The sequence below is a fragment of the Homo sapiens genome, chromosome 3 (assembly GCF_000001405.40).
Source record: "Homo sapiens chromosome 3, GRCh38.p14 Primary Assembly".
NCBI classification, from domain to species: Eukaryota; Metazoa; Chordata; class Mammalia; order Primates; family Hominidae; genus Homo; species Homo sapiens.
In genome coordinates this window covers 195,202,701-195,228,834 of record NC_000003.12, presented here as the reverse complement: position 1 = coordinate 195,228,834, position 26,134 = coordinate 195,202,701, and the positions used below count along the sequence as shown (strand labels likewise).

Below are 26,134 nucleotides of genomic sequence, written 5' to 3'. Positions count from 1 at the left end.
GTCTCGAAAAAAAAAAAGAGATACATATAGAAGAAATAAGGGAAATAGGCCGGGTGTGGTGGATCATGCCTGTAATCCCAGCACTTTGGGAGGCCGAGGCGGGCGCATCACGAGGTCAGGAGATCGAGACCATCCTGGCTAACATGGTGAAACCCCATCTCTACTAAAAATACAAAAAATTAGCTGGGGGTGGTGGCGGGCGTCTGTAGTCCCAGATACTTGGGAGGCTGAGGCAGGAGAATCGCTTGAACCCGGGAGGCGGTGTCAGTGAGCCCAGATTGCACCCCTGTACTCCAGCCTCGGTTGACAGAGTGAGACTCCATCTCAAAAAAAAAAAAAAAAAAAAAAGTGAAATATAGGCCAAAAGCAGAACCAACAGTAGGGAAGAGCAGACGGTGGTTTACAGGGCCACGACCACCGATGGCTCTGGAAGTGCAGGTAGTGCAGGCAGCACCCTGAGACTGGAAGGGCAGGTGGAGGGAAAGGGGAAAGGTGAGTGATGGAGTGGAGCCCGCCTATTGGAGAGCTTCAAGGGCACCACTTGCCACTGTCTGGCAGGGCAAGTGACAGTGTAAACAGGGCAGTCAGGGGTTCACGTGGCTTTGCCTTTTGCTGCTGGCACCTGTTCAGGTGGGCTCTTCGGAGTTGATGAGGTGGTGATTGAGCAGCTAGGATGCAGTGTGGCAGGCTTGTCCTGTCACATACCAGAGAAGATGGTGGCGGGAGGTGGCGCTTGCAGAACTCTTAGGAGCACTGAGGAAGAAGGTGGAGGAACACCCAGCCTTCTGGCTTGAGTGCCTCCTGTGTGTCGTAGAAGGATCTAGATCCTGTGGGGGCACATGGAACAACAGGAAAAACTTGCAAGACCTGTGGGACCAGTACATGGTCATCTGGTATCACATGTGAAGCTGGGGCTGCGCATGGGCCATACTTCTCATCTTCTGGAGTAGAGTTAGACAAGGAAACCCAACTCAGGATCGCGTTAGTACTCTTGTCTGCTCTAATCGCGGGTTGAGCTGATGTCTTCATCCTTTGTTGGTTGCTGTTAAGGAATGAGGATGCGTTTATGGTGGAAAGAGTGTGGGGCTGAGAATCTGGAGGCCAGGGTCAAGTTCTGACTCTGCATTTATTATCTGTGTGACTTGCTGCAAGTGTAACCTGTCTGAGTGTCTGCGTCCTTATTTGTAATTTGGAGGCTATAATAGTGATGTCTGCCTCACAGAAGCCCTAGGTTGTCGTGGGGATCAGTGTGGGTATGTGAGAGTGTTTCATAAATTGCAAAGCTCTGCCGTAGCTGATTATACCTCTGGACTTCTAAGTGCTTTGAGGAAAGTGTACCTGGTTATTCCTTATACTTCTCACAGTGCCTCCAGAGTGTCAGTGATACTCAAGAAATGCTAGTTGAGTGTGAGTTTACTGCAGCACAGAGCAGTTTCCGGGTTCCATTTTCCAGTGGCCAGACCCTCTCCTTGTTCACACTGTTGGATGAGGGAGGTAGAGCTGGAGCATCGGACTGGCCTATGGAACAGATGCAGTGGCCACCAGGAGGTGGCGATGCCTGGAGCAGTGTTAGCCATGCAATGTGATGAGGATCACACACTCTCACGTGGTTTCCAGTCGCTGGGCACAGAGCTACCTTCAGGGGGGCCCAGCTTCATGTTCAAAAGCAGGAAGCAGACTAGGGGCTGTTTCCATTTCCTGTCCTCCCACTTCTCTTCCACTGCACAGCCCGTACATGCATGCCTGCATGCCACCCCTCACACAGTGTCCCCATCTCCTTAGTGCGGCCTCAATTCTGACTCCTGGTTGTTTCTCGTTTCCTTAACTCTCCGTTGCTACCCCTAGCCCCATCCCCTGCTTGTGGACCCTGGAGAGGCACTGTCTGCCTCTGCCTCTGTGGGCCCAGGTGCTTGTTGGGTGTTGAGCTTGCAGTGAGAACTGGTTTGCTGAGCCTTGGTTTTTTTTGCACCTGCTGCAGGTCATCTTCCACGATGTTGCTGTGCTGACGGATAAGCTCTTCCCCATCGTGGAGGCCATGCAGAAGCACTTCAGTGCTGGCTTGGGAACCTACTACAGTGACTCCATCTTCTTCCTCTCGGTCGCCATGCATCAGATCATGCCCAAAGGTAACCTGGGCTTCCAGGAGCAATAGCCCCTGGGTGTCTGACTTTTGCATCCATTTCCCTGGTTCCAACACTGCCCAGGCCCTGTATCAGGGAGAATAGCTCCACTGAACATGAAAGAGTGGACGAGGGAGCCAGACCAAGCCCTTTGTACCACCGAGCTTCCTACACCAAGAATCAAGGGCAGGGCCTTGGTTGCATAGCTCCCGGGGTCCATTTATGAGGACACAGGGGGTCTCTGGGCTCTGGTCTGGACTCTGCCCCTTGCACTCGCCCCCTTCTTTCCCCACTGCTCAACCCCCATACTTTGTTTGCTCATCTGAAAAATGGTGGGTTGGATTAGATGATCCTCCATCCAAATTTATGCTCTTGTTCTTTCTAGTTTGAATCTGTATTTATCTGATTTTAAAATAGCAAATCTAGATGTGAGAGGTGCAAATTACGACCATGTAGAACTTCTGAAGAAACTCTGATGCGCAATTAGAAGGATTTTCTGGGCGTCTGTCTCCAGGAAAGAGAGATGCATCATCCAGTGTGTGATAGGTCCAGCTTATGTGGAATTTCTGGCAGGTCTGGTCATGCTTGGACTGGAAGCCTTGGAGGGTCTAACTCCTAGAGTGTGTCTGGTTTCTAGGATCTCCCTACAGTGATCCTTAATGGGTTCTGGAGCCCTGGATATTGACCAGTGTATTAATCTGTTCTCACGCTGTTCATAAAGACATACCTGAGACTGGGTGATTTATAAAGGAAAGAGGTTTAATAGACAGTTCAGCATGGCTGGGGAGGCCTCAGGAAACTTACAGTCATGGAAGGGGAAGCAAATACGTCCTTCTTCACATGCCGACACCAAGGAGAAGTGCCAAGGAAAAGGGGGAAAAGCCCCTTATAAAACCGTTGGATCTCAGAGAACTCACTCACTAGCATGAGAACAGCATGAGGATAACTGCCCCCCATGATTAAATTACCCCCCACCAGGTCCCCCCCACCACATGTGGGGATTATGGGAACTACAATTCAAGATGAGATTTGGGTGGGGACACAGCCAAACCATATCAACCAGTTTCTGGCCATGGTGAACCATGTCCTGAGCCTCTTAATGGTGAGAAGGGGTGTTTGGGGCCTTAGGGTAGCAGTTATCTGAACTGTGGCTGGATGAGTTTTCCAGCAGTTTCCAGACCAGGCAGGTCCTGGTAGCCCAGGGGACAGTGGGCCATATGGTGGAGGCCTGCTCCTCCAGCCCAGCAGACCAGAAGTGAAAAAGAAGGTGCTTGGTGAACCAGAGACTCAGGAGTTGAGAGTTGAAGCTCGGTTCCTGTTGGGAGGTTGTCCTGCCACAGGGAAAAGCAAGCCCATCCATTCTGGCTGGGACTTTGCAGGCAAGTTCCAGCACTCTGGAGGCCTCTGAGTGTCCTCTTTGTTGTGAGGCAAGGGCTCAGGGGGCTCCACTGGGCAGGAGTCTGAAGAAGAGAGGAGACGAGCTCACCGACAGGGCCTAGGGTGAAGATCTAGCATTGGTGAGCCTTTGCAGTGACCCAGGTGCAGCTCTGTCAGCTCACCAACCCTTCTACCCATCCTGTGGGGTTACAGGTGAAGCTGAGGAGTTGCAAGACCTGCCCAGGGTTATACAGCCTTTTAAGTGGCAGAGCCAGGGTTGGAAGCTGCTTCTCCAAATAGTTACTTCTACCCCATCAGGTGCCCCATACATGACCTCTCTGGACAGCCCAGTACAGGAGCTGTGGGTGGCTCAGACTTGAGAAGGACGTGGTTCTGTTCTAGATTCTAGAGGGCAGACAGATGGAGGTGTTGCTCACAGCTCCGCCATTAGCCACGTATGTGCCTAGGGCTGAGCCACTTTGTCTCTCTTGGCCTCACCAGTTTCCCCACCTGTGAAATGAGGGGCTGCGGCAGTGAGCTGTTTCAACTTGCATTCTGAAGAGCCCAGGGCTTGCAGGAATCCCCGCTAGGGGTTTCTGTAGTTCTAGGGAGCCAGGGGGAGGCACGCCTGCCCTCCCTTCACCTCCCTCCCTCCTGCCTCTTTCCCTCTGTCAGCTGTCAGGTTCCTGCCCATTGCGTGCTCAACTCTGGGCTGGGTTATGCTGTGGAGTACCCAGCAGGAGGTGAAATACAGCTCCTCGTGGTTTGTCAGGGAAGAGAAAATTCTTCTGCCTCCAGCTATAGGACAGCCAGGCAATGAATTGTGCAGGGACCGATGACAAGAGTTAGGGAGCTCCTAAGCTCTGGGAGAGGGTGAGAATTATGCCAGGAAGGTGCTCTGGCCCTCTCTGACTTAGCCCTGTCCAAGAGCCTGGCATAGCTCAGGGGGGCAGTGATGTCTGCAGAGAAAAGGCTCTGGCTAGAGCTTTGCAGTCGATGCAGTAAATGGACGCATCATTGGTGTCCCTCCAGGTGTGGGCCCCACCCTCTGAGGGGCATGCATCAGGAGGTGGGGAAGGAGTTATTTTAGATGTGCCTCCAGCCGACCCAAACACACAGTCTTTTCAGGGGTTCTTCAGGGGAGTGATAATGTGCTTCCAGCAATTCTTTTTTATTTTTAGGCGGAGTTTTGCTCTTGTTGCCCAGGTTGGAGTGCAGTGGTTTAGCAATCTCGGCTCACTGCAACCTCTGCCTCCTGGGTTCAAGCGAGTCTCCTGCCTCAGCCTCTCGAGTAGCTGGGATTACAGGCATGTGCCACCACGCCTGGCTAGTTTTGTATTTTTAGTAGAGACGGAGTTTCTCCATGTTGGTCAGGCTGGTCTCAAACTCCTGACCTCAGATGATCCGCCCGCCTCGGCCTCCCAAAGTGCTGGGATTACAGGCATGAGCCACCGCGCCCGGCAGCAATTCATTTTTACATGTGCCCCAAAGCCTTTTCCTAAGAAAACAGTTATTAGGAGTTACTAAAATTTGATAGTCATAAAATAAAATGAGCGGTCCTTGAGTTTCCTGTGGCGTCTGGGGTGTGTCCTGCCAGGAAGTCTGGCCTGGCACACTTGGCAGCACTGGGGAGTTCCTACCGAGATCATTTGGAATTCCTGCAGTTTTTGGAAGGACACTCTGTTTTCAGACATCATTCGTGCTGTCTTGAGTTTGTCATGATTCTTAACTGCTGCCTTTTTTGCATTCATTGTTTTTTAATCATAGAAATGAGTGTTGTTTTGTGCTTTGGTTGATGGTTTTGTTGTCATGTAATTGCTGCATTCTTGTTACATTGGCTATTCTGTTTCTTTCATAGCATTCGTTTTTCTCCAGGAAAGTGAGAGTGGAGTATGGGTGGAGCCTGAACCCTTGGTCTCACCCAGGAGGGCTGGGTCAGAAAAGCCTGTGCTCCTCTGAGTTCCTCCTGGAGGTCCTGTCTAGTGTTTGCCCCAGAAATCCAAATTCTTTTTCTGTGTTTAAAGCTCTCCTCCCGCCTTCCCTTCTGTAGCATGAGGGTCATCCTTCTGTACCTAAACTATTTTTAAAATGTGCTTACTTTTTTTTTGAGACAGAGTCTCACTCTCGCCCAGGCTGGAGTGCAGTGGCACAACCTCGGCTCACTGCAACCTCTGCTTCCCGGGTTCAAGCAATTCTCCTGCCTCAGCCTCCCAAGTAGATGAGATTACAGGCACCCGCCACCATGTCCGGCTAATTTTTTTTTTTTTTGTATTTTTAGTAGAGATGGGGTTTCACCATATTGGCCAGGCTGGTTTCGAACTCCTGACCTTACGTGATCTGCCCGCTTTGGCCTCCCAAAGTGCTAGGATTACAGGTGTGAGCCACTGCACCTGGCCATCATTACTGATTCTTTATCTTCTTTATATTCCCAACATGTAGCTTTTTAAACATTTAGGCAAAGTAGGAGTTATCCTATATATCAAATCATTCTGAGTCTTTTTTTATAGATGAAGATTTGAAGTTGAATCTTCATTTCAACCCCCATGAAAGAAATTGTACAAATGAAGCTATGTCATGATTTTTTCAGTTAATGGCTCACGTCCCCATTTTCTGTGTAATTATAGTCTTTGAAAATTTTTTGAATGGTTTTATTGAGTAGATGAACCTCCGTTCACTTTCTCATTTCCCTGTTCTCAGCTAGCTAGCTGCTTTCTATATTTTCTAGTATTGTAAATTATACGATGGATATCCACATGCATACAGATTATTTTCTCTCATTAGGATTCTTCCCTATGATAGCTCCCAAGGGTAGCATTACTGGGCCAGAGGTGACCCTTATAAGGCCAGGGTGTGTCAACCCCCAGCCGCCCAGGGTTGTCGACTCACACAGGTGAGCTTCTGTATAGTTTGAAGCCTACTGGTGTCTGTACAGTTCTAAGCCTGTTAGTGTCTGACCTCTCACATGGGCCACCTCAGGCAGCCACTTAAGAGCTTCGAGACAGTGGCTGTCCCCACTGGACAGGAAAGGAAAGGGAGGAGCTGAGAGGTTAGGCCGCTTCTCCGAGTTCTCCAGCGATCTGTGTCCTCCTTGCCCTGGGAGTTCTCAGTCCGGAGCTTATGCCCATTCTGATGTCCAGATGTGGACACCCAGCCTCTTACACATGCCCAGCCCTGTGAAACTTACAGGACTTGGCATCCTTGCCTGTCTTCTGGGCCCCATGTCGCAGCCCCACAGAGGGGACCTGGCTGGGATAGGGTTGGGCTGGTCAAACCCATGAGTTTTGCCCTGATCGCCCCCTTGGAGCAGGAGCGCCCAGAACCACATCTGAGCAAGGGCCTCAGGAAGAACGAAGGGGTCCTGCCAGGCGGGACATGCTGGCTCTGACTTTGGTCAGAGCTTGTTTTTCTCTTCCTTGCTTGTTGGGGATTCACATGCGGCTGGTCTCGCTGCTCATGCTTGCCTGCCTGTGTGCCCTCCACAGACACAGCCACTCTCTGCTCTTCACCCACATCCACGGGGCTTTTATTTCCATTTGTCTGTGGTGTTGGGTTTGTCGCCACTGGAAGCATCTTATGCAATGGAAAAAAAAAAACATTTTTTGCCGCACTGGAGCTGGAGGGAGCCAAGGGCAACTCCTCCAGGACTGCCAGCTTCCCCCTCCTGGGTCACATGGCCTGAGGCGCTGCTGGCTCCAGCTCAGCAGTATGGGCTGTGCTAGGGCGCATGCTCTGTGGTTGTGGGTTCTCCCTGAGCAGGGCAGGCAGGCCTCCAGACAAGCAGCAGGGCTCTAGGCTGGCCAGAGGCCCCCAGGAGACTCTCCTGTCATCCCCCATGCACCCCTGGAAGGCTCTCCTGTCCTGCAGTCAATCCTTTGTCAATACCCAGCCTATGCTAAGCGCTACTGTTTGCAAGACATGGTGCTGGCCACCCTGGGTGTCTCAGAGATGTTTGCTGGGCTGCTGCTTCATGGGCTCATGTCAGTGGGGCAGGTGGCATGGTCCAGCAATGAGGGCAGGCAACATGAAGAGCCACCCAATGCTGAGGGCTTCAGAAGAGGACAGGTCACAGGCATTTGCAGGAAGAAGGAAGCCTTCCTGGAGGAGGTGGCTGTGAAATTTTCTCCAACTTGCCTTGTTTTTGATGACCTTGACAGTTTTGAGAAATACCGGTCAGCTGTTTTATAGAGTGTTTCCCAATTAGGATTTATCTGATGTTTTTCTCATCATTAGACTGAGGTTACGGGTTTTTGGGAGGTTATGGGAGGAATGCCGTGGAGGAGAAGAGCTGTTTCCCTCACATCATATCAGTGACACACCACATTCTATCAAGGGTACATGGTTTATCACTGTTGCTGTTGACCTCGATCACTGGGCTGAAGTCGTGTTTGTCAGGTTTCTCCACTGTAAATTATTCTTTTCCCCCTTGCCATACTATATTCTTTGGAGGGAAGTCACTCTATGTCATCCATGCTTAAAGAATGTGGATAGTCACTTTTCAAAGGTCACATGTCCCTTGCTTGGACCCCATCACACACAACCTGCTGGTAGTGTCTGCCTCCTGACAGGTGCCACTGGCCATGGGCTGTGGGAGCCCAGAGGCTTCGAAGGACCCCTTCAGCATTTCATGCGATAGGCTCCATTCATTGTACTGCTCGGGGCTGTGAGTGGCTGCGTCTGATCGTCTCTTAATGTCCAGTGTAGGGAGCACTGAGGCAGGCAGGTCTGAGCAGGCTGAAAGGGGGATTGGTGTATCAGAGAGAGTAGGAGTCCAGGCTCAGGATCGGACAGAGCTGAGTGCAGATTGCAACACTGTGACTCCCAAGGTCAAGGCTTCGTGATCTTGGGAGGTTATTTAAAAGAGGCCCTATGGTGTCGTGGTTAAGAGCATGGGCCCGGCCGGGCGAGGTGGCTCACGCCTGTAATCCCAGCACTTTGGGAGACCGAGGCGGGCGGATCATCTGAGGTCAGGAGTTCGATACCAGCCTGGCCAACATGGTGAAACCCCATTTCTACTAAAAATACAAAAAAATTAGCCAGGTGTGGTGATGGGCGCCTGTAGTCCCAGCTACTTGGGAGGCTGAGGCGGGAGAATCGCTTGAACCCAGGAGGCGGAGGTTGCAGTGAGCCTAGATAGCACCACTGTACTCCAGCCGGGGTAACAGTGTAATAGAGTGAGACTCTGTCTCAAACAACAGAAAAAGTAATGCTGCCAAAAATGCTTCATATATCCGCCCCAGCCTCCCCTCCCCCCAGCTCCCAGCATCAGGGTTTCTGAAATCTCCATAACATTTAGCATGTGATTATTGCCACCATCAGCCCCAGCCTGCTCGTTTCCTGCGGAGATCTATGGGAGTGGATAAAAGACCAGACAAATGCAAGCTGTTATAAAATCCCTCAAAAGGTAGGATTTGGGCCCGAGCCTCTGCCCGAATCTCTTGAAGCCTAGTGTGACGCTTGCCATTGTAGAAAAGAACAGCAAAGCCAGCTGGCAACAAATTGGGGTGGCCCCATCCAGCTCTCCTGGCCTCCTGAGTGTTATCACCCCTGAGAGTCCTTATTTCAGTGTCTGTCATGGGGGCCTTACTGTCTTGAGGCTGCAGGCAGATGGTTGGTCTCTTTCAAGGACATTCTTGGGTCCACTTTGGGTCAGTGCTGCTGGGTGGCAAAGGCTGGTGTAAGATTCAGGTAGTTGACACTGGATGCTTCTTAGCCTAGGTTCACAGGCCTGCATGAGAAAGAACTGAGGCAGGGCCAGAATGCCTGCAGGCTTGGGGCAAAACCCACATGGGAAATTCTAGACCAGCAGCTCCTTCCCTCCCTCCTTCCCTTCCTCATTCCTTCTTCCCTTCCTGCCTGCCTGCCCTGAAACACTGAGGTCAGTGTGTGTGTGGCCTTTTGCAGAAAGCCTTTAAAATACCATCTTTTCTTTTTTCCTTAAGTAAAATTTGACAAATGTAGTAAAAGCCATATTGAGTTTTCATTTATTTGTTCTGTACTTTTTGTACTTTTACTCACTGCCATGGGAGGTCTGTAAGTTTTAGGGTACATGTGCACATTGTGCAGGTTAGTTACATATGTATACATGTGCCATGCTGGTGCGCTGCACCCACTAACTCGTCATCTAGCATTAGGTATATCTCCCAATGCTATCCCTCCCCCCTCCCACCACCCCACAACAGTCCCCAGAGTGTGATATTCCCCTTCCTGTGTCCATGTGATCTCATTGTTCAGTTCCCACCTATGAGTGAGAATATGCTGTGTTTGGTTTTTTGTTCTTGTGATAGTTTACTGAGAATGATGATTTCCAATTTCATCCATGTCCCTACAAAGGACATTAACTCATCATTTTTTATGGCTGCATAGTATTCCATGGTGTATATGTGCCACATTTTCTTAATCCAGTCTATCATTGTTGGACATTTGGGTTGGTTCCAAGTCTTTGCTATTGTGAATAATGCCGCAATAAACATACGGGTGCGTGTGTCTTTATAGCAGCATGATTTATAGTCCTTTGGGTATATACCCAGTAATGGGATGGCTGGGTCAAATGGTATTTCCAGTTCTAGATCCCTGAGGAATCGCCACACTGACTTCCACAATGGTTGAACTAGTTTACAGTCCCACCAACAGTGTAAAAGTGTTCCTATTTCTCCACATCCTCTCCAGCACCTGTTGTTTCCTGACTTTTTAATGATTGCCATTCGAACCGGTGTGAGATGGTATCTCATTGTGGTTTTGATTTGCATTTCTCTGATGGCCAGTGATGATGAGCATTTTTTCATGTGTTTTTTGGCTGCATAAATGTCTTCTTTTGAGAAGTGTCTGTTCATGTCCTTCGCCCACTTTTTGATGGGGTTGTTTGTTTTTTTCTTGTAAATTTGTTTGAGTTCATTGTAGATTCTGGATATTAGCCCTTTGTCGGATGAGTTGGTTGCGAAAATTTTCTCCCATTCTGTAGGTTGCCTGTTCACTCTGATGGTAGTTTCTTTTGCTGTGCAGAAGCTCTTTAGTTTAATTAGATCCCATTTGTCAATTTTGTCTTTTGTTGCCATTGCTTTTGGTGTTTTAGACATGAAGTCCTTGCCCATGCCTATGTCCTGAATGGTAATGCCTAGGTTTTCTTCTAGGGTTTTTATGGTTTTAGGTCTAACGTTTAAGTCTTTAATCCATCTTGAATTGATTTTTGTATAAGGTGTAAGGAAGGGATCCAGTTTCAGCTTTCTACATATGGCTAGCCAGTTTTCCCAGCACCATTTATTAAATAGGGAATCCGTTCCTCATTACTTGTTTTTGTCAGGTTTGTCAAAGATCAGATAGTTGTAGACATGCGGCGTTATTTCTGAGGGCTCTGTTCTGTTCCGTTGGCCTATATCTCTGTTTTGGTACCAGTACCATGCTGTTTTGGTTACTGTAGCCTTGTAATATAGTTTGAAGTCAGGTAGTGTGATGCCTCCAGCTTTGTTCTTTTGGCTTAGGATTGACTTGGCGATGCGGGCTCTTTTTTGGTTCCATATGAACTTTAAAGTAGTTTTTTCCAATTCTGTGAAGAAAGTCATTGGTAGCTTGATGGGGATGGCATTGAATCTGTAAATTACCTTGGGCAGTATGGCTATTTTCATGATATTGATTCTTCCTACCCATGAGCATGGCATGTTCTTCCATTTGTTTGTATCCTCTTTTATTTCCTTGAGCAGTGGTTTGTAGTTCTCCTTGAAGAGGTCCTTCACATCCCTTGTAAGTTGGATTCCTAGGTATTTTATTCTCTTTGAAGCAATTGTGAATGGGAGTTCACTCATGATTTGGCTCTCTGTTTGTCTGTTGTTGGTGTATAAGAATGCTTGTGATTTTTGTACATTGATTTTGTATCCTGAGACTTTGCTGAAGTTGCTTATCAGCTTAAGGAGATTTTGGGCTGAGACAATGGGGTTTTCTAGATATACAATCATGTCGTCTGCAAACAGGGACAATTTGACTTCCTCTTTTCCTAATTGAATACCCTTTATTTCCTTCTCCTGCCTAATTGCCCTGGCCAGAACTTCCAACACTATGTTGAATAGGAGTGGTGAGAGAGGGCATCCCTGTCTTGTGCCAGTTTTCAAAGGGAATGCTTCCAGTTTTTGCCCATTCAGTATGATATTGGCTGTGGGTTTGTCATAGATAGCTCTTATTATTTTGAAATACATCCCATCAATACCTAATTTATTGAGAGTTTTTAGCATGAAGGGTTGTTGAATTTTATCAAAGGCTTTTTCTGCATCTATTGAGATAATCATGTGGTTTTTGTCTTTGGCTCTGTTTACATGCTGGATTACATTTATTGATTTGCGTATATTGAACCAGCCTTGCATCCCAGGGATGAAGCCCACTTGATCATGGTGGATAAGCTTTTTGATGTGCTGCTGGATTCGTTTTGCCAGTATTTTATTGAGGATTTTTGCATCAATGTTCATCAAGGATATTGGTCTAAAATTCTCTTTTTTTGTTGTGTCTCTGCCTGGCTTTGGTATCAGAATGATGCTGGCCTCATAAAATGAGTTAGGGAGGATTCCCTCTTTTTCTATTGATTGGAATAGTTTCAGAAGGAATGGTACCAGTTCCTCCTTGTACCTCTGGTAGAATTCGGCTGTGAATCCATCTGGTGCTGGACTCTTTTTGATTGGTAAGCTATTGATTATTGCCACAATTTCAGCTCCTGTTATTGGTCTATTCAGAGATTCAACTTCTTCCTGGTTTAGTCTTGGGAGAGTGTATGTGTCGAGGAATTTATCCATTTCTTCTAGATTTTCTAGTTTATTTGCGTAGAGGTGTTTGTAGTATTCCCTGATGGTAGTTTGTATTTCTGTGGGATCGGTGGTGATATCCCCTTTATCATTTTTTATTGCGTCTATTTGATTCTTCTCTCTTTTTTTCTTTATTAGTCTTGCTAGTGGTCTATCAATTTTGTTGATCCTTTCAAAAAACCAGCTCCTGGATTCATTAATTTTTTGAAGGGTTTTTTGTGTCTCTATTTCCTTCAGTTCTGCTCTGATTTTAGTTATTTCTTGCCTTCTGCTAGCTTTTGAATGTGTTTGCTCTTGCTTTTCTAGTTCTTTCAATTGTGATGTTAGGGTGTCAATTTTGGATCTTTCCTGCTTTCTCTTGTGGGCACTTAGTGCTATAAATGTCCCTCTACACACTGCTTTGAATGTGTCCCAGAGATTCTGGTATGTTCTCGTTGGTTTCAAAGAACATCTTTATTTCTGCCTTCATTTCGTTATGTACCCAGTAGTCATTCAGGAGCAGGTTGTTCAGTTTCCATGTAGTTGAGCGGTTTTGAGTGAGATTCTTAATCCTGAGTTCTAGTTTGATTGCACTGTGGTCTGAGAGATAGTTTGTTATAATTTCTGTTCTTTTACATTTGCTGAGGAGAGCTTTACTTCCCAGTATGTGGTCAAGTTTGGAATAGATGTGGTGTGGTGCTGAAAAAAATGTATATTCTGTTGATTTGGGGTGGAGAGTTCTGTAGATGTCTATTAGGTCCGCTTGGTGCAGAGCTGAGTTCAATTCGTGGGTATCCTTGTTGACTTTCTGTCTCTTTGATCTGTCTAATGTTGACAGTGGGGTGTTAAAGTCTCCCATTATTAATGTTTGGGAGTCTAAGTCTCTTTGTAGGTCACTCAGGACTTGCTTTATGAATCTTGGTGCTCCTGTATTGGGTGCATATATATTTAGGATAGTTAGCTCTTCTTGTTGAATTGATCCCTTTACCATTATGTAATGGCCTTCTTTGTCTCTTTTGATCTTTGTTGGTTTAAAGTCTGTTTTATCAGAGACTAGGATTGCAACCCCTGCCTTTTTTTGTTTTCCATTGGCTTGGTAGATCTTCCTCCATCCTTTTATTTTGAGCCTATGTGTGTCTCTGCACGTGAGATGGGTTTCCTGAATACAGCACACTGATGGGTCTTGACTCTTTATCCAATTTGCCAGTCTGTGTCTTTTAATTGGAGCATTTAGTCCATTTACATTTAAAGTTAATATTGTTATGTGTGAATTTGATCCTGTCATTATGATGTTAGCTGGTTATTTTGCTCGTTAGTTGATGGAGTTTCTTCCTAGTCTCGATGGTCTTTACATTTTGGCATGATTTTGCAGCGGCTGGTACCGGTTGTTCCTTTCCATGTTTAGTGCTTCCTTCAGGAACTCTTTTAGGGCAGGCCTGGTGGTGACAAAATCTCTCAGCATTTGCTTGTCTGTAAAGTATTTTATTTCTCCTTCACTTATGAAGCTTAGTTTGGCTGGATATGAAATTCTGGGTTGAAAATTCTTTTCTTTAAGAATGTTGAATATTGGCCCCCACTCTCTTCTGGCTTGTAGGGTTTCTGCCGAGAGATCCGCTGTTAGTCTGATGGGCTTCCCTTTGAGGGTAACCCGACCTTTCTCTCTGGCTGCCCTTAACATTTTTTCCAAAAATATGGAACGCTTCACGAATTTGCATGTCATCCTTGCGCAGGGGCCATGCTAATCTTCTCTGTATCGTTCCAATTTTAGTATATGTGCTGCCGAAGCGAGCACCAGTAATCAATGTTTAATTAGCCGTCATGAGGCAGACATGTTTCTAAGGGGAGGGTTCCTGCAGGGGGATGTGCGTGCGTTCTGGAACCTGGGGTACAGTGGATAAGGATTGGAGATTCCAGGGCAGCCTGTTCTCTGCCCCTGCTCCATCAGCCTCAGTACCAGGAGAAAGCAGACACAAGGGCGCCACTGCCCCCCTACGATTGTGGATGCCGTATGTAGATGGTTTTCCAGCCTCTGAGATCCTGACTGAAAGGGGCTGACGGTGCATGCTGGTTCCCATAGTTAGCCCTGTGGCCCCTGCTTGCTTCAGAAAGAAGTGGTCTGAGGATTGACGGGGGTGGGGGCTGGTTTAGGATGGACATGGGTGGGGTCAGCAGGCCTGGGAGTGAGGTCTCACTCTGCCCTTTAGTATCCTGGTTGGCTGATGCAGGGAAGAGGGAGAGCCTCCTCCCTCCCTGATTCTGCCCCATAGGAGGGTGGAATAGAATGTGATTCCAGGACCCTGTTGACTAGTGAGCATGGTCCCATGCACAGAGGGGGCTTTCCTTCTTTCTGGAATTTTCTTCTTAGCCCTGAGGCAGGAGAAGTGAACTGTAACGGGGCTGACCTCTGCAGAGGAGGGGAAGGGACACTGCTTTCTGCTGTCTTCTCTACCCCTCAGGCAAACGGGGCTGGAGGAGTCTAAGGTCTTGCTCAGACTTTGAGCCTAAGCCACATTCTCTAACCTGGTTTACCAGAGAGTTCTGCATTCCACCCCAGTGATGCAGGTAACAGTGGCTTTTGAATCTCCCACCTGCGATGGCTCCTAATGTTTTGCTTTCAGAAACCAAAATCACATCTGGTATTGCCTAAACCCCTCGTGACTCCTAACACAGATCGTGAGTGAAAACCTGCCTTCTCTGAGCAGCATTCTTTGTCTGTAAAATGGGAATAGTGACCATGTAGGCCTCACCGGGGTGGTGGGGAGGACTGGCTGAGATACTGTGTGAAAAGTTCCAGGGCCTGATACCGAGAGATGCTTGGTAAGTGTTAGATAGTATTAGTACTTTTCCCTTTGGAGCAAACCAAAAGCTCTGATAGGTACTGCAGTAAAAAACATTTAGCTTTGTGTAACCAACATCGCTTACACACGATTGACCACAGAATGCCTTTTTGAGGAATACCTATTCACATTCTGAGAGCGGGTTTTCCACAGTACTCACTTTAAGAAATGCTGCCCTCGCCGGGCGTGGTGGCTCACGCCTGTAATCCCAGCACTTTGGGAGGCTGAGGCAGGTGGATCACCTGAGGTTGGGAGTTTGAGACTAGCCCGACCAACATGGAGAAACCCCATCTCTACTAAAAATACAAAATTAGCTGGGCATGGTGGCGCATGCCTGTAATCCCAGCTACTCGGGAGGCTGAGGCAGGAGAATCACTTGAACCCAGGAAGTGGAGGTTGCGGTGAGCCAAGATTGTGCCATTGTGCTCCACCCTGGGCAACAAGAGCGAAGCTCCGTCTCAAAAAAAAAAAAAAAAAAGAAAGAAAGAAGTGCTGCCCTCAGATTAGCGTAATAAATAACACTTGTGTAGCTCTCTGTTGGGATGCGGATGTGGGCAGGAAAGCCTCACCTTCCAGCCAAAGCTACCTCATATCAGCCAGCCTTTCCTGTCCCCTGCCAATAGAGCATGTCGTTGGGTGTGCCATTTTAATTATTCACTTACTTGGTTGTACTTCCAGATTTGAAATAGCTTTGGGTTTGCCTTGGACCCAGAGGGATTGGGAGGACTTTCCGTGGATCATGAATTGTGGTGGGGGCCCCGGGGATGGAGTTGTTGAAGAGGAGGTGTGGGTCTGGCGGCATACCATGGGTGGAGCGCCCTCGCGGCACTGACCAACAAGTGGCTTCAGAGGATCTCAACCCAGAGGGTGACTGAGGGTTCTCAACATCAACCCTCAAGGGAACTGGGCCTAAACGCCTTAGAACAGCAGTCCTCAGCCTTTGTGGCACCAGTGACTGGTTTCACAGAAGACAGTTTTTCAGTGGACCGAGGGGTGGTTGGGGGCTGGTTTTGGGATGAAACGGTTCCACCTCAGATCATCAGGCATTCGTCAGAGTCTCATAAGGAGCATGCAGCCTAGATCCCTCGCATGCGCAGTTCACAGTAGGGTTTGTGTTTCTTTGAGAATCTGATGCTGCTGATCTGACAGGAGGTGGAGCCCAGGTGGTGATGCTCACTGGCCCGCCTCCCACCGCCTGCTGTGCGGCCGGGTTCCTACCAGGCCACTGACCTGTACCTGTTCGCATGGGGCTTGGGGACCCTGCCCCAGAAGACTCACTGTCTTCTGAAGGGCTGTCCTGGGAAACTGGAACCCAGCCTGTTCTGTGTGTCCCCAAAAGGCCACACCAGGTGCAGCTGACCAGAATTTAACTCCGTTACCACGTTTCTGTGAGCCTGTGGGCAAGGCCCTTTTCTTCCCAGTGGCAGATCCTCGCATCCCATCCTGTCGGATCCGATCCCATCGGATCCAGCAGCCCTGGCTTCAGCCTGCACTGTGCTGTCACTCACCCTACCGTGGCCACCCCCGCTTCCTGCTCCCTCCACCTGGGCCACTCTCCCGGTGGCATTCCATGGCTTGCCCCCTCTCCTCCTCCAGATCTTCCCGGTGGCATTCCGTGGCTTGCCCCCTCTCCTCCTCCAGATCTTCCCATGGCATTCCGTGGCTTGCCCCCTCTCCTCCTCCAGATCTTCCCGGTGGCATTCTGTGGCTTGCCCCCTCTCCTCCTCCAGATCTTCCTGGTGGCATTCTGTGGCTTGCCCCCTCTCCTCCTCCAGATCTTCCTGGTGGCATTCCGTGGCTTGCCCCCTTTCCTCCTCCAGATCTTCCTGGTGGCATTCTGTGGCTTGCCCCCTCTCCTCCTCCAGATCTTCCTGGTGGCATTCCGTGGCTTGCCCCCTCTCCTCCTCCAGATCTTCCCGGTGGCATTCCGTGGCTTGCCCCCTCTCCTCCTCCAGATCTTTGTGCAATGAGGCCATCCCTGGCCGTCCTGTGTGAAATCGTGCTCATCTTCTGTGATGAAGGGCCCTGGCCCTTCCTTGCTTTCTTTCTCTTCATAGTTCTTATCGTCTGCTCATGTGGAATGGATTTTGCTTTTTTTTGTTTGTTTTGATCATCTATCTGCCCCACCCAGATGTAAGCTCCATGGGGGCAGGAAGTTCTGTGTGTTTCATTCACTGCTGTGTTCCCAGTTCCCAGAGCGATACAGACACATAGTAGGCAGTCAATAAATATTCATCAAATGAATTAAATGAATACCGTTTTGTTAGGTGTTATCTTGAACTACTTTATTTTAGGGGTCCCCTCAGTCTGCCAGAGCTGGCTCACTGCCTTCGCCCTTTTTCTTCTTTTGAGATGGAGTCTTGCTCTGTCACCCAGCCTGGAGTGCAGAGGCTCGATCTTGGCTCACTGCAATCTCCACCTCCTGGTTCAAGCGATTCTCCTGCCTCAGCCTCCCAAGTAGCTGGGATTACAGGCGTGAGCCACCACGCCCGGCTAATTTTTGTATTTTTAGTAGAGACGGGGTTTCACCATGTTGGCCAGGCTGGTCTCGAACTCCTCACCTTAGGTGAGTCACCTGCTTCAGCCTCCCAGAGTGCTGGGATTACAGGCGTGAGCTACCATGCCCGGCCTGCCTTTGCCCTTTTTCTGAACCCCACTGGAGAACCTTTGGGGGTGGAATCCCGCAGCTTCTGGTGAATCCAGTGGACTCTGAACACTCCTTAGGGTTAGTCACAACCAGGAGCTTGAATTTGTGGGATAGCCATTTCTTGATGGTTCCCCAAGCCTGGAGAACTCTGATTCCTGCTGTGGCGGGTGCTGCCCTTGACTGTCAGCGTTCAGCTGGGGGGAGGAGCAGGGGTTCTTGGTGTGGAAGAAAGCAAAGGAAAAAACAGACATTCAGGAACTTGCCTGAGTGAAAACATCTGAACAAATACTGAACAAAGGGTATAAACATGTGTCCAGTGATTTCAGTGAAAACTATTTTCTGGCAGCTCTTATGGAGCAAATTTGAGGCATTTCGGTTCTCTTATTCTGAAGAGGGACAGCTGAGCAAATTTGTCATAAAATGCTAAAAATAGTAACGTGGTAGAGACCATTTTCTACTAATTTAATGCCAGAAGCTCTTTCTAAGCTAATGAAAATAGTTGCCAAATTGGTTGAACAGTAATATTTCCCGTTTTGGTCCCCTTCATTAGATTCTGTCTTTTAATTTGTCAAGATCTTCTTTTAAATTCTTGGCTATCGGTCAAAGGCATCAGCTGGCTCTTATTACTTCTTGCCAGGACGTCAGCCAACTTTTTTCTGGGCCTCGCCTCACCCATGAGGAGTCCGTCCTCCTGCCCACTGTGTTCAGGGCACTGGGGCACGACAGCAGTCCTGCCCTTGGGGAGCTCACCTTCCGGTTGGTGGAGGGACCCCAAGTGAGTGGGTGTCACACAGGGAGCAAGAGGCGAGAGGTCAGCAGAGCAGCGTCCTGTCCTGTCCTGACTTCAGCGGGGTGTGGGGGTTGTTTGCACGGAGAATGCACCAGGTGCTGTCAGTTCTGTCAGGGCACAGAGAGGAAGCTTTGAGGAGGATGAGGAGAGGTTAGCCTTGAAGGCTTGGGGTGAAGGCTGGGGGAGGGGCCGAGCAGGCATTCTGGGCCAGGGTGTGCGGGCGGCCGGGGCCTCAGCCTGGACTGCAGCTGCTGCTGCCCAGATGGTGTCAGATCCCTGTGTGTCCCTCTGGTGTGTTTGCCAAGCCGCCTCTGGGGCTGACTCTGCTGAGCGTCTTCTCTTTGTCCCGAACTTTGTGCACTGTCCCTGGCTGGAGAAGACTCATTTCTGTACTCAAGTCCTGTGTGTAGTTGCTGATGGCCAGGTCCTGCTGGTCAGCCGCCTTGGACGGAGTCTCGGGCCTGCTTTTCCGTTTTCTGTCCCCTTACTCTGGCTTCTGGATAGCCTTTGGAATATTCCGGGCGATAGCTGGGCCTCCAGAGAGAGTGGGCTGCAGGGTGTGGGCCCGGCCTCCCCTTGCCTGGCGGGTTTTCCTGGTCAGCGTTCCTGCTGCTCCCCGGTCATCCCTCCTGTGCTGCAGCCTTTTTCTCTGGTTCAGACCCACACTCTGCCGTCCCACTGCCTGGGCTTGCTGAGCTCTCCGTTCTGGCTTGAAGGCCTCGCCCGAGCCCTGTCACCGGCTCTGCCTGTCAGGAGGGCCCAAGTGTGCGGCTTCGGTGGGGCTGCCTGACACTGACCTCTGGGGTTGTAAAGGTCCCAGAGGGTCCTAAGTCGGGCCTGATGTGGCTGAGATGGCAAGAGCCGGAACGTTTCTGTAAAATCTGAAAGCCCTTGATGGGGCCGAGGGGGTGAGGAGGATTCCCACCCTGTGTGGACAGGAGCACGCAGCAGCGGAGTGACTCCACCACGTGAGTGGGGTCCAGCGGGTGTGGCACTCGATGACAAGACAGTTTGAGAGCGGCTTGTCTCCGGGGACCTGGCGTAGGTCTCCTCTGCCTTAACCCTTGGCTTTTGCACTTCCTCTGTCTGTCCTCCATACAGGCTTCTTGCCCTAGTGAGGACTGGCTTCTTAACAGGGTGAGCCGGTTCCTGTCCTAACCCCACTGGCATCTTACACTCTGGGAGATAGCTTCCCCCTGAGAGGCGAGTGAGCCACGTAAGGGGAGGTGGGCGATGGCTTCCCTTCTGTCTTGGGTTGGGGGAGTCAGGTACAGTATTTTTTCTTTTAAAGCATCATTGATCACATAATAAGGTTTGTCATAGTCCTTAATCACAGACCTGTGAAATTTGGAGAATTCACGGCACCTAGGATGGGAGTGAGCTTCTGATTGTGAGCTGATTTGGGAGCTAACCTCAAGGAAACTCCTCTTGCAAGCCCCCTGCTGGGTGTCGTGGCCCTCGCCCAGTGACCTCCCGGGGACTCTGGACGCTCTTTGTCTGCCCTTCCTTTTCCCTCACCTCGCTCCCCCGTGAGAAAGTGGGACTCATGCAGCTCAGCTCAGTGACAGAGGGTTTATTAGGGGTAGCTCTGGGACCCATCTTTTGGTGATTTCTTCTCTCTCTTTCTCTAATGGAATAATTGTTTCTGTCTACACTTCTTTATTTTCTCCTCTCTACAGCTGCCTTCTAAAAATGTGCTTTTCTGTTCCTGCAGAACTGAAGCTTGCATGGCCTTTGTTGTGACTTTCCCGTCACGAGCGTTGTCTCTTGGTATTTTCCCATAGGCCAGCCTGCAGGTCATACGTTGTTCATTTTTTTTGTTGTGGTTGGTCCAGTCAGCCAGGACCAGAGCAGGTGGGACCATGTGGTGCCACACGCAGCCAGCTGGGCCTCTTCGGCAGGCGTGTGGGCAGTGGGCAGGTGGGCTGACTGCCACTCTCAGATATAGAGCTGACACCGAGACTGGATGCTGTGCTGTGCTAGGCACAGGAGGGGAGGGGAACAGATGTGAGTCAGATGTGCGGTTTGCCCTCACAACTTCACTTTCTAGTTGGGGAATTGGACATTTACATAAATGTACAAACACCTGTCATACAAAAAAGAAAGGAATAGGTGTCATCCAAATACCACCTCTGTTGGGGTATGTGGTGGGCAGCCTCTAACACGGCCCCCGGTCATCCCTGCCTCCTAGGAGTCGTGCCCTGGTGGGTCCCTGTCCCTTGATGTAGGCTGGACTTATTGACATGCTTCTAGTGAATAGAATCTGGCAAAAGTGATGGCCTGTCACTCTGGGACTGTGTTATAAAAGCCTGCTGCTTCTGTCTTGGGCACTTTCTGTCTCTCTCTCTGAGCCTTGCCTGGAGGAATTCAGCTGCCATGATATGAGCTGCCCTGTGGAGAGGCCTGCATGGTGAGGAACTGATGTCTCTGGCCAGCAGCCAGGGAGGATCTGAGGCCCACCAGCAGCCACACGAGTGAGAGGGGAATTGAGTCTTTACATAGTTGAGCCCTAGCCAACCTTGATTGCAGCCCGTGGGCCAGAGGCTAAGCTTGCCTGAATTGTCTCAGATAAATAACATATTTATCTTACAGCTTATTTATTTATCTGTAAGATAAATAAATATTTGTTGTTTGCAGCTGCTAAGTTTTGGGTTAACTTGTTATGCAGCAGTAGGTAACTGATACAAGGGGATCTCAGCACAGAGAGAGCTGTGAAGTGCCAAGGAGGCGGCACCTTTGGCTAAGGAATTTGGGGAAGGCTTTGAGGAGGATGTGGTATTTGAGCAAGGCTATCTTTTTTCCATAGAGTGTACACCTCTTGTACAAGGTAGAACATCTTGCACATAACAGAAGGCCTGTCTGTCGGTCCCACTTTCCAAGGTGAGTAGAATAAAGTCACTGTTTTCCTGTTGCCTGAGAACCTCCAAACCCTCTGTTGAAGAAGGGCAGGGCTGGCTGTTTCCTGGAGCCCTCCTGCCCAGCCAGACGTGTGGCATCTCTGATGTAGCTGAGTCTCCCGGGCCTGGTGGCCTCCATCTGCAGTGCCACCAACTGTGTGTGGGGCTGCTTTGCACACCATATGCTGATTAGGGAGCAACAACATGGGACCTGCAGGCCCGATGCCCCAGGCGCTCCTCAGACCCGCGAGCCATCCCACAGTCTGCCCGGGGCAGCTCCTCACCTGCCCTCGTGGCTCTTCCAGGCTGGCTCAGCCTGTGGTAGAAGGGTCTGAAGACCCAGGTTAAAGCCTTGTTTCTCTCTCTTACTGATGGCGAGGCACTGAACATCCTCCGTGGGCCTTTTTTTTTCCCCCTCCACCTTTTATTATGGAAAATTTCAAATATCCACAGAAGGAGAGAGGAGAGCATAATGAATGCCTGTGTACTCATCACCGGCTTCAGTAGTTACCAACTCATGGCCTGCCCCTTTTCATCTCGACTCCCACCCATCGCCTTCTCCCCCAGAAGCAAATACCAGATCTTATTTTATTTTTAAATATTTTGATAAGTCTCTCTAACAGAAAAGTACTTTTTTTTTTTGAGACGGAGTCTTGCTCTGTCACCCAGGCTGGAGTGCAATGGCCAAATCTTTCACTGCAACCTCTGCCTTCCAGGTTCAAGTGACTCTCCTGCCTCAGCCTCCTGAGTAGCTGGGATTACAGGCACGTGCCACCACGCCCGGCTAATTTTTGTATTTTTAGTAGAGATGGGGTTTCACCATGTTGCTTAGGCTGGTCCTGAACTCCTGACCTCAAGTGATCCTCCCACCGCGACCTCCCAAAGTGCTGGGATTGCAGGTGTGAGCCACCGCAACTGGCTGGAAAGTACTATTTGTATTAAATGCGCTATTTTTATTACATTTAGCAAAACTAACAATAAATAATCACCTTATTGCCATCTAGTATCCATGCAGGATTCACATTCTTGAATTGACTACATGTTTCATTTGGTTGACTCTTGAGTCTTTCCCATTCTCTCTTTCAAAATTAAACTTTAGGCCGTGCGTGGTGGCTCACGCCTGTAATCGTAGCACTTCGGGAGGCCGAGGCGGGTGGATCACGAGATCAGGAGATTGACACCATCCTGGCTAACACAGTGAAGCCCCGTCTCTACTAAAAATACAAAAAATTAGCTGGGCGTGGTGGTGGGGGCCTGTAGTCCCAGCTACTCGGAGAATGGTGTGAACCCGGGAGGCAGAGCTTGCAGTGAGCTGAGATCGTGCCACTGCACTCCAGGCTGGGTGACAGAGTGAGACTCCCTCTCAAAAAAAAAAAAAAAAAAAAATTAAACTTTAAATTTTAAGATAATTGTAGATTACCATGAGGTTGTAAGAAGCAATACAGAGATCCTTTACCCACTTTCCCCCAGTGGTAACATCTTGCAAAAACTATAGCAAATACAACAACCAGGATATTGTTTTTGTTGTTGTTGTCTGTTAGTTTTGAGACAGAGCCTTGCTGTGTTGCCCAGGCTGGAGTGCAGTGGCACGATCTCGGCTGACTGCAACCTTCACCTCCTGGGTTCAAGCGATTCTCCTGCCTCAGCCTCCCGAGTAGCTGATATTACAGTCGCCTGCCACCACATTTGGCTAATTTTTGTATTTTTAGTAGAGACAGGGTTTTATCATGTTACCCAGGCTGGTTTTGAACTCGTGACCTTGGGTAATTCACCCGCCTCGGCCTCCCACAGTGCTGGGATTCCAGGCATGAGCTACCGTGCCCGGCCAGGATAGTGACTTTGATACCATCAAGCTGAGAACGTTTATCCCCACAAAGATCCTTCGTGCTGCCTTTTACAGCCACACCCACCTCCTCTGACCCGTAGCAACCACTAATTTCCTCCTTCATTTCTGTATTTCAAGAATGTGTATCAATGGAATCCTAAAGTATGTAACCTTTTGAGATAGGCCTTTTTTCTCAACATAATCCTCAAGAGGTTCATTCCAGTTGTTGCGTGTCAGTAATTCACTTTTTAATTGCTGAGTCGTATTTCATCATGCGAATATACCAGTTTGCTTAACCATCCATTTAAGGACAGCTTGGTTGTCCCCAGTTTGCGGCTAGTATGCATAAAGCTGCATTTTGTTGTATGGACATAAATTTTTATTTCTCTGATATAAATGCCTGAAAGTACAGTAGCTGGGTCTTTTGGTAGTTACTTGTTTCATTTTATAAAAAATTGGCAGACTTTTCCAGAGTTTGGCGATTTGCCAGAGTTTGGCAGACTTTTCCAGAGTTTGGCAAAATCCCAACAGCAATGTTTGAGTGTTTCTCAAGTCCCTTCTAAACCAGAGGTCCTCTCTCCCTCCACCTCTATTTTCTGACTTCGCAACTGGGGAGGAAAATTTGTGCTCTGATGATCTTGCGTGATTGGGATTATCTTGCATGTGAAACTGCTTTATAAACTGTCCCCAGCTGGGTCTATTAGTGCTTCCTTTTTGTGGGTGTATCTGAAAACAGTGTCACAGAATCTTAGCGGAGGGCTGTAGACATTTATTCACTGTCTGCCCCTGCGTTTCCTAGCCTGGCTGGATTCTGCAGGGCTGCTGGGTCATGAGGGTTGCCACAGGTCAAGCGTGTTAATGAAGTTCGTCTTGGCTTCTGCAGCACATTGCGGGTTGTGGGTAGTGAGATACTTGAGTTGCCTGAGCAACCCATGAAGACCACAGTCCCTGCACAGACCAGGCTTCGGCACGGCCACTGTGGCTGCCAGGACTGGTCTTCTGGGCCACCTTGTCATTCATCCCTGACCTGGCTGGCTGGCTGGCCAGCAGTTCAGACTGGAACACGAAGATGCCACTGAGAGAGAGAGAGAGAGAGAGAGAGAGAGTGAGAGAGTGAGTGTGTGTGTGTGCGTGTGTGTGTCAGGGAGAGAGAAAGCGAGGACCTTTTAGCCACAGACCCATGCCAGCTTTGCTTAAGATGATGGTAGTTTTCTCTCTCTCTCTCTCTTTTTTTTTTTTTTGAGACAGAGTCTTGCTCTGTCGCCAGGCTGGAGTGCAGTGGTGCAATCTCAGCTCACTGCAACCTCTGCCTCCTGGGTTCAAGCGAGTTTTCTGCCTCAGCCTCCCAAGTAGCTGGGACTACAGGCGTCTGCCACCACGTCCGGCTAATCTTTGTATGTTTAGTAGAGATGGGGTTTCATCATCCTGGCCAGGCTGGTCTCGCACTCCTGACCTCATGATCCACCTGCCTCAGCCTCCCAAAATGCTGGGATTCCAGGCGTGAGCCACTGTGCCCGGCCAATGATAGTTTTCTCTAACACTATGTGTGGTGAATTCTAAGCTCTATTAGAAGCAAAAACCTGAGGCTTTTTAAAAGCACTTGCCTCGCCGCCTCCTTTAGGGCTGTGTCTGACATGACCGTCATTTCCTCAGTTGGTTATCAGCCTTTCTTCTCCCTTGCTGAGCTGTCAACTGATGCCCCCACCTTCGTCTCAGCCTCTGTTCCGGGGGCTGACTTGACTAATGTGTCCCCAAGTTGCTTGATGACCTCAGACAAGAAGCACAGCAGTGCCTGGCCTCACAGCCCCATCAGCATGGAGGATGACAGTCCCAGCACACTGCTCCAAGGGGCTGTGAGGAATAAATAATAGGCCAATGGCAAAAACACTGGGCGGAGGAATCCTGCTGGAGAGACACTGACACAGTGGAGAGAATGTGTCTGTCAGGCCATTTGCTCCTTACTTTAAAGGCCTGAGTGGTGGCTAGAGCTCTGTTCTTTGTGTTTTACAGAGGGAGATGTTAATGTTCGATTCACTTCTTTTGTGGGTTTTCTCTGGTGCCTGCATGTTCCTTCTCTGCACTGCTGTCAGTCCCAAGCCTGGGGGTGGCATGGGGTCTGCTGCTGTCTTGAAGGATATGTGGGCCCCCAGGGATTTTCAGTGAGGTGAAGGGGTGGGTACAGGCCAATTTGATAGGTGAAATATATATCATTATAGAATATTAAGTTTTCTTTCCTTTCTTTTGAGTGAAATTGGATCTCCTTTCATATGGTAAGAATCACTGAATTTCTTTTCTATGAACTCTTTATGCCCTTAGCCCATTTTTCTATTGGGTTGTTGATGTTTAGTAATTTCAAGGAGCTCTGTATTTGTTAAGGAAATAAGCATTTTTGTCCCTGAAATACGTTGAAAACATTTTTTTTTTGCAGTCTTTTAACTTTTTTTCTATGAAGGTTTTTAAAAAATTTGTGTTGTGGGCAGGTGTGGTGGCTCACACCTGTAATGCCAGCACTTTGGGAGGCCGAGGCAGTAGGATTGCTTGAGGCCAGGAGTTCAAGCCCAGTCTGGACAACATAGTGAGAGCCCATCTATACAAAATTTCTTTTTTTAATTTGTGTTGTCAGGTCTATCTTGTGACTTTTAGATTTTGTGTCACACCTAGAAAAGGCTTCATTCCAAGATTATTAAAAAAAATTATCTTGTGATTTCTACATTGTGAATTGTAGTGTGCTAACAGAGAAATGAACTACTCTTGTCCTTAAGAATAGTTATGGCCTACTATCTTCTCTGAATTTATCTAAAATAATTCTTCTTCCAAGATGACCTAAGTGGCTATCTCTGGATACAGAGGACTGGAAACTATGCATCGGATAGTCTCAAGAT

At 48.9% G+C, this 26,134-nt stretch overlaps 1 protein-coding gene and 1 pseudogene across 5 annotated transcripts in view, besides 5 other annotated features; one reads left to right on the top strand and one right to left on the bottom strand.

Annotated features, from left to right (window-relative positions):
• Positions 1–26,134, top strand: part of XXYLT1 (xyloside xylosyltransferase 1) — a 202,876-nt gene that overhangs the window by 42,325 nt on the left and 134,417 nt on the right. For all 5 annotated transcript variants that reach the window (XR_924105.4, NM_152531.5, XM_005269286.6 and 2 more), the window contains exon 2: positions 1,979–2,126. Coding sequence is in view for 4 of the 5 variants with exons in the window: in NM_152531.5 (NP_689744.3) it covers positions 1,979–2,126 (148 nt within the window). In the remaining variant the exon portion in view is untranslated. The remainder of the gene's footprint in view (positions 1–1,978; positions 2,127–26,134) is intronic.
• Positions 1,865–2,459: an enhancer, noted in NCBI's record as "H3K27ac-H3K4me1 hESC enhancer chr3:194947105-194947699 (GRCh37/hg19 assembly coordinates)". NCBI's record gives its function as "activates a minimal SCP1, AML or CMV promoter by ChIP-STARR-seq in primed H9 embryonic stem cells {active_cell/tissue: H9 hESC(primed)}" and the evidence as "EXISTENCE:reporter gene assay evidence [ECO:0000049][PMID:30033119]".
• Positions 13,943–14,048, bottom strand: RNU6-25P (RNA, U6 small nuclear 25, pseudogene; annotated as a pseudogene).
• Positions 16,433–17,014: an enhancer, noted in NCBI's record as "H3K4me1 hESC enhancer chr3:194932550-194933131 (GRCh37/hg19 assembly coordinates)". NCBI's record gives its function as "activates a minimal SCP1, AML or CMV promoter by ChIP-STARR-seq in naive H9 embryonic stem cells {active_cell/tissue: H9 hESC(naive)}" and the evidence as "EXISTENCE:reporter gene assay evidence [ECO:0000049][PMID:30033119]".
• Positions 16,746–16,919: a silencer, noted in NCBI's record as "fragment chr3:194932645-194932818 (GRCh37/hg19 assembly coordinates)". NCBI's record gives its function as "represses an EF-1alpha promoter that drives an FKBP-Casp9 reporter gene in an ReSE screen in K562 erythroleukemia cells {active_cell/tissue: K562}" and the evidence as "EXISTENCE:reporter gene assay evidence [ECO:0000049][PMID:32094911]".
• Positions 21,084–21,609: an enhancer, noted in NCBI's record as "H3K27ac-H3K4me1 hESC enhancer chr3:194927955-194928480 (GRCh37/hg19 assembly coordinates)". NCBI's record gives its function as "activates a minimal SCP1, AML or CMV promoter by ChIP-STARR-seq in naive H9 embryonic stem cells {active_cell/tissue: H9 hESC(naive)}" and the evidence as "EXISTENCE:reporter gene assay evidence [ECO:0000049][PMID:30033119]".
• Positions 21,610–22,137: an enhancer, noted in NCBI's record as "H3K27ac-H3K4me1 hESC enhancer chr3:194927427-194927954 (GRCh37/hg19 assembly coordinates)". NCBI's record gives its function as "activates a minimal SCP1, AML or CMV promoter by ChIP-STARR-seq in naive H9 embryonic stem cells {active_cell/tissue: H9 hESC(naive)}" and the evidence as "EXISTENCE:reporter gene assay evidence [ECO:0000049][PMID:30033119]".